We start from the raw sequence: 21,336 nt of genomic DNA, 5'->3' as shown, positions 1-21,336 counted from the left end.
GTAGTTTTCATGGTCATTGCAATGCCAAAAAACTGTAGCATTTAGAAAATTTAGTTTTCAGACTTGGAAACTATTTAAGGCATTTCATATGAAGGGTGTGTCCTTGTAAGAGTTTGCTTATGCAAGATAAGGCTTCTTTCAGCTGCAAGTCAGGAGCGAACCAAAACTCAAAGCAGCAGCTGCATGAGCTGACTTTATCACATCTTGACAAGAGCTCAGCCACTGGAAGTTTTGGCATACAGCGAAACTGAAGCGTACTTATACAATATCACACTTTATTTTTATTGTTTCTAATAGCATTCCAGGTTAGAAATGTCAATTATTTGGGAAAGCTGAGTGGTCTGGTAGATAAAGCATGCAGCAGAGAGCTAGGAGGCTGGCTATTTCCAGTCGTTATCCTAACATGTCTTGGGCCCCCAAGTCACCCCACCTCCATGGTACAATGGGAACTGTGGCAGAAGTCCACGCTCTCTCCCCCAACACATGGGGATAAGAGACAAGAGAGGTGAAATGTTCTGGAACATATCCGATGTTATACAAGTATAAGCTGTGAGATGATCCAAACGCAAATATTGAATATTTCATTTTCTAGAAAGTATACCAATTCATTCCACCCTTCTCAAACCTAAATTACAGAATTCAATTCAGGTCACACAGATTTACTTTGTACTAAGTACCATAGCAAATGCCATTTCAGTGCCTGAAAACTGAAAAACATAAATTTAAAGTAGGAGTTTGAGGCCTCACTAATATGACAAAACATACCTTTATATTTTATTTTGCACTAATTTGCCACTTAATCATTAAACTCTTATCAATCTGAGAGATTTGCCAACACTTGCCTGCTAGGTGCCCTAAGCCTCCACATCAATGCATGTTATACTCCCCTTTCTCCATATGTTAGGCCCATGCTATTTCTTTATCCCTCCTCCTCTGCATCTTCACCTAAAACTCTGCCCATCCTTCAGGGTTCATCCAGTGATTCATTTGCAAGTAGGCATGGGGTAAGGTCTTCAGAGTATGTTTCTCAGAGGCCCATGCAGCTAAGAAAATGTGCAGTGTTGGCACAAGGTCTGTCTATTCCTGGGTAGCCAGATGCTGGACACATCTTTCATAACACCACAAGGTAAATATACTTCACTTGTAGAGAGAGGTGAAATTTTGCAGGTATAGACTGGATGTGTTCCTGCCAGAAGATGTGAAGGGATTAAGAAACTGACTCTCATCTCCGTATTGCTAGAGCAAAACATAATTTCTCATAGTGGCTATAGTATAAGGACACTGAGGGGTAAGAGATATAATCTAAGTAATACAATAAATTAGTGTGGAAAAATCATCAAAATGAAGACTACATGGTTTTTACTAAAATTCTAGCTTTTAGGATGTCCAGGGAGCTCAGGAATTTAGCTGTCCTTTTTTGTATGTACAATATGCCCCAATGCTTGCTGACTAATGTACTAAAACATTAGAGAAATCTTGCTGACAAGATCTCAACCAGTCAGCGAGATCCGGAAGGTGAGACTAATATTGAGGGCCAGCAGAATTAAGTCTCAGTTCTGCTGCTTACCAGATATGCTGATCTGAGCTAGTCATTTAATTTTTATGAGACCAAATGTCTATCTGTAAAGTCGGCAATTTGGATTAGATGTGCTGCAAGTGGTTTTCTAGCTTAAATGTACCTTCTGAATTCAACAGGACAATACTTAAACTGACCTTTAATCTAGGAATGACACAAGTAGATTTTTGAAAGCTACTTTAGCTACAGAAAGCTGAGAGCACCAAAGGCAAAGAGATAAAAATAACAGGAGAGCCTTCCCTTAATCCAGTCCCTAAGCAGTTTTGGCAAACTAAAGTTTGTTGTTCAATGGTTACGAGTTTGCTTCAATGCTTTCTACCCAGTTTACTGAACTAAATAGTATATAGCTATAGTAAAAAGTCCTATTCAAAAACCATCTTCTCACAGATATTTTGCAGCTTTGCAGAATTGAATATGTCCACAGACGTCTATTAGCTGGTTAGGGTCTTAGGAATCTAGGAGAGCCAAGTAGTTGTGTGAGCTGTTGTTATCAAATGTAGTTTTGAACATTCTTGGTGATTTTAAGGGATCATATTGTGGAAATTTGGTTTCCTTACCTTGAATTTTGAATGAAGCTTTAGAATTTGAGGATGTTTCTTTGGTTTCTCCTTCCAGGTAAGTGATTTTTTTTTTTCAACCAGATGCTGGTTTATTTAATTTGAAGGTATTGATGAAATTCTTTAAATTGCCCCCATGTGATTCTACTCTGGAATAACTACGAAATTATTTAAAAGTTAATTAATACAAGAAAATATGAAAACTCATTTTTATGGGAGCTATTGTTCCTTCAAGATGACACTGTTTTGTAAACTATAGACTTCCAGTAACAAGCCTCTGTGCCTTCTTCTTACCACTAAGCATGCATGGGTATTAATTCCTACTGAAAGACTTATGCTATCTTTTTTCCAGAAATGGAAGAAAAATGAACTATGAAAAAGGTCATTTTATAGGTCAGCTACCATTATGAGATTGTTGAGGAAATGATATAAAAAACAATTTTTATCAAATTATCTTTAGGGAATTTATATGTTTATTTTCTTACTATGTTGACTTAGGTGACTATAAGAAGTTGTATCAGAGCAACTGATTCTGGTGAATTAAAGCAAGTATTTCTAAGAACATAAGTGGCAACTTTCAGTCTCAAATCAATTTGGCCACCAATCAGTTTTTGTAAGGGTACAAATAGGACATAACATGCTCAGATGGGACTTGGATAAAGTGTATACAATTTTACATCGAGGAAATTGTGTCAATGTGTTACCTTCAATGTTAGAAATTCCCAAGTTCTGACAATAGTTCAGAGCCTTGTTAAAAGCCAGAGTGGAGGCATGTAGATCCAGCTGGAAAGAGAGGCATTATGGTCTAAGTTAGGACAAATTTTAAAGCCAGTGTTAGGGTCTGAGTCCAGCTTTGTATACTTGAGTACAGTGTTTGATCTCTGGGGTTTCAGCCTTCACTTCAGAACAAAATTTCCACCAAGTGCTCTTTTACTGTGAGCAGTAGCTGTTGAAGAAGAAAGAAACTGTTGAAGAAGAAAGAAGTCTACCTATTTGCTAGAGTGTTAAAATTGTTTTGATAAAGCTCAAAACTTATCTAAATAAGCTCTCTCTCCCTAAGCATGTTTTCATTTTTATAAAACAGTTACATATACTTTGCTTAAAAATTTAAAATACTTTTCACCTCCTCTGACTTCATTTAAAATTAAAATAATTAAAGTGCCAATTTTAAGAGATGTTAGCTCCCATTATTGGTTCTTTGCCATATTCTTTTGACAATCTGCTGTAATTTTCTGCCCCCTTTAAAGCCTCAGGCTATAGGGCTTCTCCACCAAAGGAATGTTAAGAAGTGATAAGGACCTTCTGTGAGCAGAAGTGGCTTGTTTGCAAAGGGACTGCTTATCTTGGCCACTCTTGAACACAAGATGGGACCCTCTACTGCAAAGCTCTGGCATGTTTTTTTTTCCCCTAAGTTATCCTCCATACTACTGACAGTGATTTTCCCTAAATAAAAAACTGCTTCAAACCATTCATTCTCTTTCCACTGCCTTAAAGATAAAGTCCAAATTCTAGAACATGGCCCACAGCATTTGGTGCCTCACCACCTCTTCAACCTCTCATTTGCTGTTCACCCATTTCTGTATTCCTCTCCTTCTCACACCTTGTGCTGCAGCCACATAGATAACTTGCAGTTTTTGTAACGTGCAATGATGTCTCAAATTCCAAGGCATTGCTGGTACCACACAGCCTGCCTGGTAAAATCCTAGACTTCTTTCAAGATAAATTCAAAGACACCTCCATGAGGTCTTTCTACCTCTCCAAGTAGAGTTGACCGCTGTCTCCTTTGTGTCCCCACTTCCACCACCATCCTAAAATACTTATTATACTTAGATTAATAATTGTCGCTCTTACTGCACTGGAATTACCCTGAAAGGAAAGGCCATGTATTATTTATCATTGTCTTCCTAGTACATAGCCCACAGCCTATACCTCCCACCCCAAAAAAAACCTTTTGTAAATAATTGAACAAATTAAGAAACACCCAAGGCCCCCAGTAAACATCAAGGCCTAAGGAATGCATATCTGGATTCTAAATAATCATAAGGTTTTACAACACCATGTTAAGCACCAGGGACTTCAGAGAGCTTTTAGTCTAAATCTTATTAGAGAGGCCAGCAAAGACCTCCAAAGGAAGTGGCATTGAACTGAGACTTGAAAAGCCAGTAGTTAGGCAAAGATAGGGAGGGAAATATTTCAGACAAAGGGAGGAGATGGCACAAGATTTAGGACACGGAAAAGGGTATGGTGCAGTCATAGAGAAAACAGATGTGCAGAATGGCTGGAGCCCCAAGAGGGAAGGGAAGGGCGAAGCAATGAAGATGTGAGGCAAGCAGGACTGGACCATGCAGAGTCTTGCAGGTGTTCACAAAGAAAATTGCAGCACCCTCCCATAGACTGAAAACACCTCTCTACCTGAACCCCTGGAATTCTGACTCAGGTAGTCCCTAACATCCTGCTGAACAGTTAGGAAACTTGGAGGAATATGTATATTTGTACTCAGTCAAAACTACTAGATGGCATTTACAGACTATGTTTTGTGTATTTTTATTTTTTACTTTTTGTTTTTTTTTCTTATGTTAGCAAAAGTATGCTTGCTATTGAAATGTTGAAAATATTTCATTGGTCTTAAAATGATGCTTATTTTTCCAGATGCTTGCATTCATTCTGCATGTGCTATTTTGTCATTTGGTTTAATTTATTAAACAATTTTATTAATTAAATTTATTAATTATAAATTAATTTATAATTAATTACATGTTATTATTAATTATAAATTTATAATTAATTACATGTTATTATTAATTATTAATTCATAATTAATTACATGTTATTAATAATTATAAATTAATTTATAATTAATTACATGTTATTATTAATTATAAATTAATTTATAATTAATTACATGTTATTATTAATTATAAATTAAATTTATTATTTAAATTATTATGTTCCCATTCAGATGCAATCTGAAAACCCATTTCTTCTCACACTGCTATATAGAAATAACTGAGACTGGGTAATTTATAAAGAAAAGAGGTTTAATTGCCTCATGGTTCTGCAGGCTATACAAGAAGCATAGTGCTTCTGCTTCTGGGGAGGCCTCAGGAAACAATCATGGCAAAAGACGAAGGGAAAGTAGGCACGTCTTACATGCCTGGAACAAGAGCAAGAGAGAGAGTCGGGAGAGAGAGCCTTGGAGCAGGAGCAAGAGAGAGTGGGGAGGTGCCACACACTTTTAAACAACCAGATCTTATGAGAAATTACTATGTCCACGACAGCATCAAGGGGGATGATGTTAAGCCATGAGAAACCAGCCCCATGATTCAATTACCTCCCACCAGGCTCCACCTCCAACATTGGGGATTACATTTCCACATGAGATTTGGATGATGACACAGATCCAAACCATACCACTCACCTAATTCTTTCTCCATAAGAATTTGTCCAAGCATTTATAACAATTAACATTTCATTTAACATCTTTTATGAATAAAGCACTATTCTCATGCTGAGAAAATTCAAAATAATGGGATATGGAAGTCTTAGGAACAAGTTTTATGTTTCAGAAGAGCCCATTTTGTATCCACAGGGATAAGAAATGTGCACCCTAAATGTAAGTGGATTACACTGAACTGAAAGGTGTAAAGAAGGAGTGGAGGATTAAAAGGAGAAGCATGGAGAGGATGAAAGTTAGAAATGGAAGTGACAAGCACACCTGAGTGAAGGATGAGAGCTCCAGCTGCCTTTTCCAGTTGTATTCCCATGTAGCTGAGCCAAAGGCTGATCTCAAGTTTATTGTTACATGCCCATTTAAGGCTTCTGGCCATTAACACTTTTGATTTTTTTTGGCTTGTTATTTTATTAGCTATTTTCATAACACTTTCATAGCTAAACCTATTTTACTCAGGTTGTATGCCTTTTCAAAAATACAATAGATGGTCCATATTCCATTATCTACAAATAAGCCGAAGCTCATATCTAACATTTATTAAGAGAGATGGATTATTTTTGTTCATTAGTTATCTTTGTAAATAATTTTTACATACTTTAATTGACTCATAAAGATGTTTCTTTCTGTAATTTTAATATTTGTTGAACTTCAAAATCCCTATCACAAGGTTATTGTTTAAAAGCATTGGTTTTTATATTATCTTAAAAGCCATTATACCTGAATGCTGAACAACTTAGAAACATTCAGTAATTGTTTTGCATGCTATTTAGTGAATTCATATGGCAATCGTTTATACACACATGATGGAATCAGGTGGCAGGCCAAGTTAAAGAGCAAGGCCAGAAAAGAACTTAAAAGAGAAGAGAAAACATAGACAGTTTAGGAACAATAGATCATGTCTTCTCCATGATTTGGAGGTAAACTGATTACCTATCAGCTGATAAATAGAGAAAGGTTTTAGAACTCTTTCCTTGAGTAGACTAATGAGAGGTGTCAGAGAAGATGTTTTCTGTTGTTTGTGTGCTCTCCAGGAAACTTTGAGCATTCAGCTGAGGGGCCAAGTTGGCTGCCTCTGAGGAGAAGCCCTTCCACCTCCACTCCATTGCACTTGGGTGCCATTCCCCTCATTTGAATATCTCAAAGAGATGAGCAAAGGTACATCTACAGAGTTCAGGGTACTGACGTTTATCATAATGATTTATAACTCTCAGAAGAGTGAAAAACACATGAATGCACAGAATAGAAGATTGAAAAATAAACCACAGAACATTCATATAATGGAATACTTTGCAGTCATAAAAATCTTCTCATAGAAGAATATTTGACAGCATAGGGATATCTGTGGCATATTAAGTAGAAAGTCAGACTTGTAAACATTATATACATATTCATATATATTTAAACACCATGATCCCATATTTAGATATAACAACTAAAAGTTCAGATGGCTATATATCAAAATGTGTCAAATGTTCAACCTTGCATAGGCTGACTGTAGATGAATTTTATATTATTCTTTGTGCTTTCTTGTAGTTCCCAAATTTTCTTTATTGAATCTATATTACTTTTGCAATTTAAAGAATTTAATTTATAAAATTTTATAAAATAACTTATAAATTTGAAATGTATTGCATTTAAGAATAAAAAGTGTTTAATTACAGAAATAATTCACAATTTATTTAATGAGATTTTAAAAGGATATATATGAGTCTACATTCTGATTTCATGTTTGCGTGCGTGGTTTTTTTTTTTTTTGAGACGGAGTCTCGTTCTGTCACCCAGGCTGGAGTGTGCAGTGGTGTGATCTCAGCTCACTGCAAGCTCTGCCTCCTGGGTTCATGCAATGTAATAGTGTTTTATTATTGTTTCCATTTTTATTGAAGAAGTAAGATTGTCCCTAGCAGATGGAGACACTGAGATATGGGACAGAAGTTTTGTTCTATATAATTATTATGCGCTTCCACCTTTCTTAGCATAGACAGTTTCCAAAATGCAACTTCAAGTTACCCCTTTATAAGCATAATAACAATAATACCCAACATACATGTAATGCTCTTTATGTGCCAAGTACTATACTAACACATGCACATCACATACACACACACCACATACACATATTTAAACTAATTTCATTCTCACAATGACATTTTGAGGCAAGTATTATTATTGTACAGATGAGAAAACCAAGGCACACTTTATCTGTAAACCTCTGCCATGCAGAAATTCTGGAGGGGCTTCTGGCCCCTTAATTTTAAAATAAGGCCAATAATACAATACTTACCACACAGCAATTCTCTAAAGATTATGTAAGATATATACCAAAGCGCTTAGCTCAGGGACTGGAGGGATGTGAGGGAATTTGTCTTTTGTGATATGCTTTATGGTCCGCTCAGTCACCTCGTTCTTAATCCCTTTCTCAACTTCTATTTTATACAGGAATTGTGAGCATATCAGCATCAAGTACCACTGGTGTGGCAATGCACACTTCAACCTCTTCTTCAGTCACAAAGAGTTACATCTCATCACAGACAAATGGTTTGTTTTCATTTTTATTTTTAAATTGTGGCTCCGAAATCGTTTTTGTGATGCAACCCTATTTTAGGGGACCTGTCACTGCAGAGAAACTGACAAACACTGAGAAATGCGAGCTAAGTAGACACAGCCTACTAAGTAGACACAATTCCTACTACAGAGGAATTCTTGCCTCTGAAATATCTCACAGAAATAATACTGTGAGTTAAAGAAATTAAAACAATGTGGCAAAGCACAGAAATGATGCACGTGACCATGAAATAGTGGGCCAGATAAAGGGGACCTAATAGTGCGGTGGTGCGGAGGGTCTGTGGGCAAAATGAGTTCAGCTCAGACCCGGGCTCAGCTCTATGCCAGCTGCTGACCCAGGGTGAGTTGCCCTGCAGGGTTTCTATCCCATTAATTTTAAAATGGGGCCAATAACACAGTACTTATCTCACAGCATTTCTCTAAAGGCTAAATAAGAAGAAGTGTCTAAAAGTTATTAGCTCAGAGCCTCACACATTCTCAGTGACTGATAAACAATAAGCAAAGCTGGGTGCTGAGATAAGAGTAATCTGGTGGCAGTCTCTCTTGTTAGTTTTCAGGGGAGAAGAAGAAATTCTGGAGCTGCTGCTGGGAGGGATGTGGGAGATTTGTCTTTCATGATACACTTTATGTCCACGCAGTCACCTCATTCTTGTTCCCTTTCTCAACTTCTCTTATATGCAGATAAGCACAAACGGGACACATATCCAGCTCATAGTGTTAATGAAGTTTCAGAAAATTCTGTTACAACTGTTTACCCTCCAGAAGAGGAAAATGATATGTTCTTAGTTTTAAATAGTTGCTCTGGAGTCATTGTTGTGATTGAACTCTGTTTACACGAGCTGTAACTCATGACAGTTCTCAAGCTTTTGTGACAGAAAACCCATCTGTTTTACTCCAAAGCCCATATACCACCCACAACCATTAACTGTAACCAAGAAAGAGAAGGAAAGCCCCAATTAACCTTTGTACGTAAAGCCTAAAGAATGAAAAAATATACCTGAATCCTCAATCATCAAACAACGTAGTATATACTAAGTAATTTGTAATAATTAAACTCTAGAAAATTGTGTGGCTTTGGTAGTAAGAGAGCTTCATGATGTAAAATGGCAAGTGGAGACAGAGACATAAGTAAGATGTGGACTGAGAGGGAAGGTTAGCACAGGTGGAACAGTAAGGCAACCATACTATCAATTGCTGCTGACATAGAATCCAGAGAGACTATTGGCAAAAGCTCAAATGAGACACAGTAACAGTTTAGATTCAGACAGTGGCTGTGGCATACATCTGGAAAATTGATGGCCGCATGATCCCTCTTTGCATGGGACTGGCATCTGTGTGGAGTAATGGCTCCATATGCCTCCTTTCTTCTCATTATTTTTATATTTTTTAAAAATGCATTGCTTCTTGTGGAAGTCAATAAGTGATTCTTCCAATACTTTCTCATTCCTTTCCCCTCAGTTATAAGACAATTTGCTTATTTGTCATCCATGAATACTTGTTGGGTCATTAAAAGTAGATACTGAAATTACTAATGGTAGGACTGACACATTCCCTCATAAATTTTACTAGCTAGATGTTGAAAGTTGACCAACAACTCTCAAAATATGATTAAGAAAAGGAAACCCACAGAACAGTTCGATTCCAAAATGATTTTTTTCTTTGCACGTCTTACTTATTTGGACTTACATTGAAATTTCGCTTTATAGGAGAAAGGGGACAACTTGTCCATCGTTTCCCTGAAGCAGATATGTTAATATTTGACAAAGAATCAAAATCATTCCATTTTAAACTATCCCATTGCTTGTTTCAAATGCCTAAGAAAATGTGTCAATCTTAAAACAGAAGAGCATATGTTGTTAACTTTATTCACACAAAATTGTAAAGGCAAAGAAAATATTCTCTTTTTAAAATTAAAATAGGCATTTCTTATTTTTAAAAACATTTTGGGGGCCAGGGGCAGTGGCTCATGCCTATAATCCCAGAATTTTCAGAGGCCAAGCCTGGCTAATCGCTTGAGCCCAGGAATATGAGAACAGCCTGGGCAATATGGCAAAATCTATCTCTACAAAAAATACAAAAATTAACTGGGATGGGGCATGCACCTATAGTCTCAGCTACTTGGGAGGCTGGCTGAGGTGGGAGGATCGGATCGATTGCCTGAGCCTGGGAGTTTGAGGCTGCAGTGAGCTATGACTGTGCCACTGTACTCTAGCCTTGGTAAGACCATGTCTCAAAAACAAATACATAAGTAAATAAAAATAAATAAAAACATTTTGGAAATAGAAATACATAATTTGGTAATAGTTTTTCTCTTAAGTTAGATGTTTTACCTTTCTAACCAACCCTGAGTACTTGAAAGAAGCCTCATAAGAGCTTATAAAACAAGTGAAGTTCCCTCTGCCCTCATGTAAAAAGCAAGGCATTTAAAATCATCTAATTAACTGGTACTGTATTTCAAGGGTAAATCTCAGCCTTGATTCATTTTTGGCCCAATGCAACCACTTAGGGACCATCTTGACAACCTCTGCTGAAGGGACATCCCTTCCCCTCACTTGAGTATCACTGTGTGTGCTCATTTGCTATTCTGCATTCTAACCCTCCCTTCACACTTGGCCGTGTCCATGGCTCACAGGGTAAAAAGCACATCATAGAACTTCATCACTATCGCATACATTCAAGCTAAGTGGTCAAGAAGGCTGGGCAACACCAGCAAGAGGAAATGCTACTTTCACTTTTTATCAATAATAGGACTTTTAAATATTAATTAGGCAAATAAATGAGCCATTTTACCTTTATGTCTAGCCTTCCATTCTATTTACTTCAACTGGAAGCACTACAAATATGCTATAAATATGGAAATATCTCTTACTTGATTTAAGTTGTTTCATTCCCAACATACAAATGACTTAACAAGCATTTTTATTGACTATATTGGAGACTATGCATAAGAATACTGTGGAAGGAATAAAGCTTAGAATATAGATGACCTGCATTATAGTTATAATTCTACTTTTAACTAGTTGTCTGACCAAGGCTAAGTTAACCTTATTCAGCTTCTTTTCTTCATTTGTAAACTGTTTATACCAGTTTCTTTCCAAAATTATGATTCTATGATCTGTTCAATGCTCTTTTATATGTTAAGACATTGTTTTCTCTCATAATTTCCAAACTATGGGAGAATTTGTGGTTTTTTCCCCATATCTGAGGAGAACGTCCACTGAGTTCTTATCTACAGTTACACTAGTGAAGAACGCTGGGTCTGGAATCAGAAGCCTCAGGTCTTAGTTCTGTCATCAACTATTTGTGCGACCTTGGACAAAAGACTTGATCACCCACAGTCCCAGTTTCCCACAAGGTTACTGTAAAGCACACAGTTTTAAAAAAGACAAAATACACATGATAGTATATTAATTGTACTTTCTATTAAAAGGCAAGGTGATGTTATGCTGATGTTATCTTATTTTTCAATTGGATGTGGTCATTTATTTCAGACTTTCATAATTTTGCCGCTCTCTTTATCTCCTGTAGGGATAACACTCATTAATTGGTGGGCGATGGCTCGTGTTATTTTTGAGGTGATGCTTGTTGTTGTTGGAATGATCATCTTAATTTCTTACTGTATTCGATGACTGATAAAGGTGAGAATTCAGTTTTTAATTTTGCTCTAAATACCAGTGTGAACAGCTCTCGGAGGGTTTATTCCTCTGAGTTCAGTTAAACTCAAAAGAGAAACAGAACTGCATAAAATTCCATCTTTTTCAACTGGACACATAGAAGTCACTGTGTTTCTCTAGCATAATTTATTTTTTGCATTTGCCCAATTAAAGGGAGCCTCTAAATATAAATCTGTCCCCCATTTTCCCAATGAAAGCTCTCCCTAAGTTTTGTCTAACTTGCTTTCACATATTTTGATGGATATTGAGGAAATATTAAGATGCTACTTATAGTATTTACCCTATTAGTGAATAAAATGTTTAAAATAATATATTTACATATGTTTAAAACTTTGGGGGAGGCCAAGGCAGGAGGATTGTTTGAGCTCAGGAGTTTGAGACCAGCCTGAGCAAAAAGGTGAAACCTAGTCTATACAAAAAATATGAAAATTAGAAAGGCGTGGTGGTGCACACGTGTAGTATCAGCCACTCAGGGGGCTGAAGTGGGAGGATTGCTTCAGCCTGGGAAATAAAGGCTGCAGTGAACTGTGATCATGCTACTGCACTCCAGCTTGGGCAACAGAGACCCTGTCTCAATAAATATATAAATAAATAAATAAAAATAAACAAAATAAACCTTTTGCCTTTCTTAATTCTCACATATTTTGCAACAGATTTTTCAAATTTCCACCCATGAATTCTTAACATCAGTGATTTTTTTTGAATCATTAATGCTTTTTTTATTTTTTTTTTTTTAGACAGAGTTTCCCTCTGTCACCCAGGCTTGAGTGCAAAGTGGCGCAATCTCTGCTCACTGCAGCCTCTGCCTCCCTGGTTCAAGTGATTCTCGTGCTTCAGCCTCCACAGTAGTTGGGACTACAGGTGCGGGCCACCATTCCTGACTAATTTTTGTATTTTTTTAATAGCAGAGATGGGGTTTCGCTGTGTTGGCCAGGCTGGTTTCAAACTCCTGACCTCAAGTGATCCACCTGCCTTGGCCTCCAAAGTGCTGGGATTACAGATGTGAGCCACTGCGCCTGGCCCCAATTAGGGTTTTTATAAAGCCAAAAGAACTTGGCAACACCCCTAGGTACCCTTTAGAAGCCTCCAATTGGCTACACCCTATGAAGGATTGGCCTGTGACCAATCAGAGGCTGAAGTGGAGGCGTAGCTCATGGTCAAGCAGAGGCTGAAGTGGAAACTTCTGTCTTTTTATCACAGGCATGAGGATGTGGCCTGCATGCTGCCTGATCTTGCCTAGAACCAGCTGCACCTGCTGTTCTCTTGCTTATGCAAACTGGCTGCACCTGCTATTCCTTTGCTTATGCCCCAACCCTTGGCTATCCTAACTCCCTGTTCTCCTGCCTATTACTGTATTCTCTACTTCTAAATAAAAATAAAACAAAATACAAATTATTTGCATGTAGTATAGTCATGATTTGTTATTTCAAGCTATGTTTAAAATGTAAAGCCCATTACAGTAGGATAGATGAGAAGAAAGAAGGGTCTGAACAAAGCCAACAGCAGAGAACATGCAGAAGGGGAATGAAGACTTCAGCCTGGACTCTCATTAGGTGGCTGTCCAGGATAACATGAAGTCTCATGTGAAATATGTTGGAAAAGAACAAGATTCAGTCAAGTACCCAAGGTGCCTGACTGCTGAAATGGCACTGTAATTTAAAAAGCAAAGACAAGTTTATCATACTGTGAGATCCTTGAGGGCAAGGACCAAGTTCTATTCAAATCTTTGTCAAAAACCAGATTCTTGATAGGCTTACTTTAGCATCCATTGATCTTAATTATAGTTCACCTGCCAGGAGTTAAGGTCCCTCCTCAACAGTAAAGAGAATGACAGGCACAGGGGTAGGAGCACATAGAGAAGGGCCTGACTTTCAAATGAACTCTGGAGAGCACTCATCACCTCCAGGACACAGCAGATCTTACTGAGATGGCTGGGTCAGAAATCTCTGAGGGACTCCAGGATGCCCACACCTCAGAAAGGACAGGTTGAACTAAAGGACCTGGGGTCCCAATGTGCAGCACGTTTCCTCTTCGAGTACACACCAGATACATTCTGACTGCCTTATCCTTGGAGTCAGAAGGAGGAGTGTCTGAGGTCTCTTTTCTCCCATCCTAAAAACAGGACGTAGAGCAGGCCTTGGCCATATGCTGTATGCCTCCCCTAAGTGAGCAGTAAGAGATTGTCACAAATCTGCTATGTTCAGCATCTGCATTTGAATAAATGAATGTTATTACCTCTCAAGGTGACTGCTTTGAATGTATAAATTCTAAACTATTTCAGAAACCTCAGACATTACAGTCACACCATGATAAAATCTGGTAGGTCTGATGACAAGGAATGGTGTTTGTTGCATGTTTAAAAGATTGCAGACAGTTCTACATTAAAAGTTCTTTCTGTGGGTGAGGGGGCTGTGGGATGGGGGAGATGCCAGGATATGTATAGAGCTTAATTTCACTTGGTGGGATTATAGCTAATTTTTGTCTTTTTCTTTACACTTTTTTTCTAGCTTCTTAATTTTCTGTAACAAAACTATATTACATTTTTAAAGAGACAATAACAAAAGCCATTAACTTTTTCAAAACTAAATACATATATACATATATATACATATATACATATAGCAACAAGACAGTTGCTAGTACACATCTCCCTAACAGAGTTACATTAGTCTACATGGGGTTTTACTTATAATTGACATAGTTACCCTAATCTATGCATTCTTTGACTATGTTGCATGTCTAACATGTTCCAGTGACCATTCAATTGTGGATTACAGAGAACTGTCATTGTCCAAATTAGAGGCAGGAATTTCAGTCCTGTGGGAAGCATCCAAAAAGTTCTTCAGCACAGATAGGTTTAGGAATAAAACTGGAGATCTTTTGAGTGGTTCTCATTTTTATAAGCTTGGTCATGAACTTATCTGCCCCTTAGTTATTTTTAGAATTGATTTCATGCTCAGGTCAATCATTTCACAGTGAAGAATATACCATTTCTCAAACTGCCTTCTTTCCAAATTTTATGACTAGAGTTCAGCCTGAGTTCACATAATCAGCTGATGAACATCACTCAATGGAGCATATTAACTAGAATTGTTGTCTCTATCTGGGTCTCTTCCAGATGGTCTTGTCAAATGCTATCAGAGCATCATATATTAGAGAATATGTTATATCAGCCTCCACTTAAGTTACTCATAGATTGTTCTTGACCCTTCTCATGGCTCTTCTCTCTTGTAGGTTGTGTTATTGGTAACATAATTTGCTCTGACAAAAGCAAATAAAGGAAATTTTAGACCTTTATTATTCAACTGGATAAAACTGAAGGTTCAGAAGTGATTGCAAATATTGCCAACCAGGTGAAAATTATTTCCATTCTCAGCTGAACGCTATTACCTTTAAATCAAAAGTAATCAGTTTAATGTAAGTCTTACCTAAGTCTATTAAACTTTTTCTAGGCCTAGCAAAGCATAAAAATGCTGTATATTTTAATGTCCTCAGATTAAAGTATCCCCATCTCTGAATATTTTGAAATTTTAAAAAGAAATCACTAAAAGGTGACCAGCAGAATTTATTCTTACTAAAAAGAATGGATGAGATGGCATGGAATATAGTAACAGCCCCACAGCTTGTCTCCCTGTCTCTACTCTTGTTTTTTATATTCCCTCCTTCACAGAGCAATTTTTTCAAACTATCAATTAGATCATGTATTTCTCCTACTTAAAATCTCCAGTAGGTTTTTCACTGCACCAGAATAAAATCACCACTTGTTAGCATGCTCTCTGAAGTTCTGACCTGTCCACATGCTCAGCTCACCTGGCCTGCCCCCTTCAACCCTCTCCCACTCTCTCCTGTCATTTGGTTGCAACCACTGAACTTTTCCCCAAAACTCCAACTTACTAAGCTTGCTCTTTCTTAGGAACTTTGTTCTAATTTTTTCTCCTTTTTTTGCTTCATATCTTTGCTTGACTGCCTCCATATTATTCCTGTCTCACACCTTCAAGGAAAATTCTGATGACTGTATTTTTTATCTGCTTTGTTTACGATGTATCCTCAGAGCGCAGAATAATGGCTAGAACACAGGAAAACTCAGTAAAATTTCATTGAATGAAATAGGTCTTCCCTGCCTACCCAACGCAAAGCAGCTTGTAGTCTTCTTCCCTCCTTCCCATTAATTTCTCTTTCATTTTCTACCTGTATTTTTTTCATAGCACTCAGCTCCCAGGACTAGCCTCTTTATTTGTATAACTGGTTATTGGCAAGTCTCAATTCAGTAGGGTAAAAAAAATTAATTTTTTAAATTTGCTTATACTGCATGGAATATACTTTTCCTATTTCTTATTCCTATTCCCTAGAAACATCTTGGGGAGATAGGCAACTTTCTGGTTGTTTTTGTTATTAAAATTTCAAAACATCAATCTTATATGTAAATGAAAGCTATACAGCTACTTTCTTTTTTCTAGGTTTTCATGCCTCTGGGATTGAGATTAGAGGAAGAAAGCAAAGAAAGGACATTTTTTTACTTCACTGTTCATGGTGTAATTGTGTGCCTGACGGCTGTAGCTACTAACTTGGCTTACGTTGACTGGCTACTAAGGGACTCTAGGAGTCAGAAACTAAATGCTGAGTCTCTCAAAGGCGTAGAGAGAATTTCAGAGGGCCTTACCATGACATGAGGATTAAACTCCAGTTCTGCCCGATTCTCATCACGAAATCCTTATCCCATGCCTCATTGTGTTTGGTGTCCCCTTGCCTAGGGGACAGTCCTCCTGGGTAAGATCAGCAAGATAACTCTTCAGTCACATTCCATTTGATACTTTGAATACTCTGAGGTCCTTACCCACCAAATGGATGGAATTCAGCTGCTCAATCACTGCCTTTCTCAGAACTCGGTTGTCCAACCACAATTCCCTTTCCCTTAGGATAGGGCTATATTGGCAAAATGCCGCCCGAACAGACTGCTGACAGTAAACCAAATATTAGTTTCTCTCACCTTCTTGAAGGCATTTACAGTCTTTGTAAGCTTTTCTCCTAGATTTTCCCTTTCCTGTTCCTGCTTAGATTCTAAGAATGAAGTGCATCCTTCTCCTTTTCTTCATTAGGTGAAGTGGGATTTACCCATTACCATATATTCACCACCAGGTCACTGACGAGAGACTCCAGTGAATCGCTTTCCCTCTGCATTCCTCTCCTTGTACAGACTAGAGGGTCACATTGTGTAAAGCCTAACATAGCCCTGCAAAGAGATCTGGCCCCAGCAGTGAACACAAACTCAGTAATTCTCTTTAGAGTGAGGTGGTAATCAGTGCCTCTTGGTTTCAGCCGTGGTCCTAGTGGCTACTTATGGAAGAATAGGAATAGTTCCACAACATCCTGTAACATTGGCTTACCTGTATATTATATGCCACCCGTAACCATAAAAACACCAGGATTTAGGTTCCTTGAAGGTAATGACTATGGGTCCCTCTCTGTGGAAGAATACTGAATAGAAGAGAGAAATCACTCAATATGTGGAATGACTGATATGGTTTGGCTGTGTTCCCACTCAAATCTCATCTTGAATTGTAGTTCCAATAATCCCCACATGTCATGGGAGGAACCCAGTGGGAGGTACTTGAATCATTGCGGTGGTTTCCCCTGTGCTATTCTCATGATAGTGAGTAAATTCTCACATAATCTGATAGTTTTATAAAGGAGCTTCCCCCTTCACTCAGCTCTCATTCTTCTCCTTCCTGCCACTATGTAAGAAAGATGTGTTTGTTTCCCCTTTGGTCATGATTGTAAGTATCCTGAGACCTTCCCAGCCATGCAAAACTGTAGATCAATAAAACCTCTTTCCTTTATAAATTACACAGTCTTGGGCAGTTTTTTATAACAGCATGAGAACAGACTAATACAGTAAGTTGGTACTAGAGGTGGGGTGCTGCTATAAGGATACCTAAAAATGCAGAAGTGACTTTGGAACTAGATAACAGACAGCCTGTGAAAGCAGCCGAGGCGGGGGGGTTTACCATGCAAAGCCACAGGAGCTGAGCTTCCCAAGACTGTGGGAGCCCACCTCTTGCAACAGCATTACCTGGATGTGAGACATGGAGTCAAAAGAGATTATTAAGATGCTTTAAGATTTAATTACTGCTCCACTGGATTTCAGACTTGCATGGGCCTGTAGCTCCTGTTTTTGGCCAATTTATCCTATTTAGAATGGGTGCATTTACCCATTGCCTATACCCTCATTGTATCTAGGAAGTAACTAACTTGCTTTTGATTTTACAGGCTCATAGGTGGAAGGGACTTGCCTTGTCTCAGATGAGACTTTGGACTTGGACTTTTGAGTTAATGCTGGAATGAGTTTAGACTTTGGGGGACTGTTTGGAAGGCATGATTGTGTTTTGAAATGTGAGGACATGAGATTTGGGAGGGGTCAGGGGCATAGTGATGTGGTTTGGCTGTGTCCCCACCCAAATCTCATCTTGAATTGTAGTTCCCACAATCCCCATGTGTTGTGGGAGGAATGTAGTGGGAGGTAATTGAATCATTGTGGCAGTTTCCCCCATGCTATTTTCATGATAGTGAGCAAATTCTCATGAGATCTGATGGTTTTATAAGGGGCTTCCCCATTTACTTTTGCCATCATGTGAAAAACGATGTGTTTGCTTCCCCTTCTGCCACGATTGTAAGTTTCCTGAAACCTTCTCAGCCACGCAGAATTGTGAGTCAATTAAACTTCTTTCCTTTATAAATTACCCAGTCTCAGGCACTTCTTTATAGCAGCATGGGAATGAACTAATACAATGACTGACTGATCGGAAAAATTCAAACGTTTTCTTATGACCAATTCAATTTGCTAGAGCAATTAGAAGATCACACCTCAAAAGTATTCAGTACATTCATACTGTTTTTCAAAACATTTAACTTGTTCAAAACTCATTCCACATTCTGACCAATAAACTTCTATTCAACTTCTTATGCACATGCATTTCAAATTGCATCATTTTCAACCTCACTACTTTTAAAACGTAAATTAAAACAACAGAAAATTTATCCATTATCTATGAAACCTACAAAGTGGTATTTCTAATATAATATTCAATGTGCTAAGGATGCAGTAAATTCTTATTGTTGTTATGGTAATGTAACTTGGTGCAATCTTTTAGAAGGAAATTTGCATATATATTCCAGCACCTCCAAGATACTCATAGAAACTAAAACTCTAACAAGTATTAAAAGCGTAGCAGGCAGACATATGTTGTTATATACCGATTGCTTCTTCCTATATCACACACTCCCACACACGCTCATCTGAACTTCTTTATTGTATAAGACTGATACATTTTTCCCTATTACTTATACCAGCAACTACAAGAAAATTGAATCTACAGACAAGCTGAAAATAAAGTTACTTTTATAAAACCATGTTAAACATTTGGATGGGTCAAATACAATGAAATGAAATAAATAACTGCTGCCGAAAATATTAAAAAAAAGTGACTAAAAGCAAAATGGCCTTGACGGAAAACTTTGAAAGAGATGTATAGCAAGACCTCAGCTTTTGCCTGTATCGTCCTACCATGTGAAGATTGATTAAGCAATGCTTCATAAACAAAGTTTTATGGCAGATAAAGGGGACTGACTCTATGGTGCACATATTGGCCCCAGGCAAGAAAACATCATCTGGAGAGATCCATTCTCCTCAGATACTATGAAATTTTTAGTGGTTTATTCTACAAACTTCAGGTGTGAAAAAAAGGGGCAATAGTGTGTTGATATATCAAGTACTTGAGACTGCTTGCTAGAGGCAATCACAGTTCTTATAAAAAGAGCTGTTTGCAGTTTAACTGCAAGGAGAGAAATGGCAGTTATTTTACTTTAGTTGTTTGTGTTAAACACTAAGGAAAGTGTCATGAGGCTGTAAGAAGCCAAAACAATTCAATAAAAGGTAAAAATCACAGTCCATTCTTGCAACAGTTCCTCATTTATTTCTAACAAAATAGCTCCTATCAATCTCAAACTCACCATTAACATCTCTTACCTAATAAAAAGGATAAAATAATAAATCACTTATAAATACCAAACAATAGCAGAGCAATTAAAAACAGATAAGTGAAAATAGTAATTTAAATATTTCTTAAAGAAATTTAAAATGAGAAGATGGAGGCTTGAGAAAATATTTACAAATTCCATCTATTTGAAATCTGCTTAAATGAAGAAAAGTATAGAATAAACAATAATCTACTCTGAAATTTAAGAAACAACCCAACGTCATACAAGAAACTCTGCAGAATATCTGCTTTGGGCCAAAAAGAAAGAAGGTACTGGAGAGTTGACATAGCATTCCCACCTGAGGGCACCAAACAGAGCTACAAAAAGAAAGTAGAGGAAATTAGAAGGATCCCACTACTGATTTTTATTTATCCAGTCCAAAATATCAATAGTGCCAAGGTTAAACAGCCTCCATCTAGAAGAATAAATGTGTGTTAATAGTCAGAAAAATTATGAAAATGAAGAACAATGAGTGGGAACTTCTTCAGCCAGGAATTATAATATATAGTTATATTAAGCATTAATTAAAAGAACATTCCGGGTAAAGAAATATATATTCAGATAAGTGAAATGTAACAATTCATTTGTAAATTCAAATACGTGTAATAATTTAGTGTCATGAAGAAAGCAGCTTTCAAATCAATATAAAAAGATAGATTTTCACTGTATTCAGAAAATTTGTCAGATACTCAAGAAGAAAAAAATGGATCTGTACTACTCATTCTTTACAACATAAAATATTTCACATAATTAAGGTTAAGTTACTAAAATAAAAACAGGAAAGCACTAAAAGCAAATATGGATAGAGTCTTTTAGTTTTAGCAATTAAAGACTCCCTTGGCAGACACAGAAATTCTAAACAAATATGGCAAGTCTACTTTTATTTGAGGGGAGAATAGGAACAGAGGATGTTGTTGATACTTAGTGGCTTGGGTTTTAAGGTAACAATCAATCAATCAATGTACTGTAACTTTACTAAAAGTCACGTACTGTTTGAAAGTAAAATCTTTAAAACATAAATAGATAAGTAAAAAGTAAGGGATGGAAAAAAAAGATGTCTGAGGAAAATACCAACTGAAATAAAGCTAGTGACTTCCTTTGATGCTGGCAATATTCTCTATCTTGATCTGGGTGGTGGGTACATGGCTGTATACATTAGAAAAAAATTATCAAACTCTATTCTTAAGATCAGTGCCTTACATGCTCTTTATTGTATGGGTATTACATGTCAGATAGGTAAAGAGGCTGTAAAAATACAGAAATTTCATGTAGCTATATTAATATCAAATAAAATAGATGATAGATAAAGCATTTTCAAAGATAAAGGGGCCACTACGTAATGAAAAAAGGAATCATCTTGGAAGTAATGTCAGAGGCATTTGAACCAGAGTGTCTCCATCTTGGATAGGGGCCTGGTAAAATAAGGCTGAGACCTGCTGGGCTGCATTCCCAGGCAGTTAGGCATTCTAAGTCACAAGATGA

At 37.3% G+C, this 21,336-nt stretch overlaps 1 protein-coding gene and 1 long non-coding RNA gene across 3 annotated transcripts in view; one reads left to right on the top strand and one right to left on the bottom strand.

Annotated features, from left to right (window-relative positions):
- The window catches only part of GYPE (glycophorin E (MNS blood group)), a 34,696-nt gene extending 17,030 nt beyond the window's left edge, over positions 1 to 17,666 (top strand). Inside the window, exons 2-4 of one of the 2 annotated variants that reach the window (NM_198682.3) lie at positions 8,021 to 8,119; positions 11,675 to 11,784; positions 16,278 to 17,666. In NM_198682.3, the coding sequence (NP_941391.2) occupies positions 8,021 to 8,119; positions 11,675 to 11,775 (200 nt within the window). In that variant the 3' untranslated portion in view covers positions 11,776 to 11,784; positions 16,278 to 17,666. Of the gene's footprint in view, positions 1 to 8,020; positions 8,120 to 11,674; positions 11,785 to 13,020; positions 13,216 to 16,277 lie in introns of those variants that run through there. The other variant, NM_002102.4, reaches the window with a different exon arrangement.
- The window catches only part of LOC105377459 (uncharacterized), a 125,977-nt gene that overhangs the window by 80,848 nt on the left and 23,793 nt on the right, over positions 1 to 21,336 (bottom strand). The gene's annotated exons all lie outside the window — the stretch shown is intronic.

Source organism: Homo sapiens, chromosome 4 (genome assembly GCF_000001405.40).
Source record: "Homo sapiens chromosome 4, GRCh38.p14 Primary Assembly".
Taxonomy (NCBI): Eukaryota; Metazoa; Chordata; class Mammalia; order Primates; family Hominidae; genus Homo; species Homo sapiens.
The sequence above is the reverse complement of the archived record's forward strand: the minus strand, read 5'-3'. Positions and strand labels throughout refer to the sequence as shown.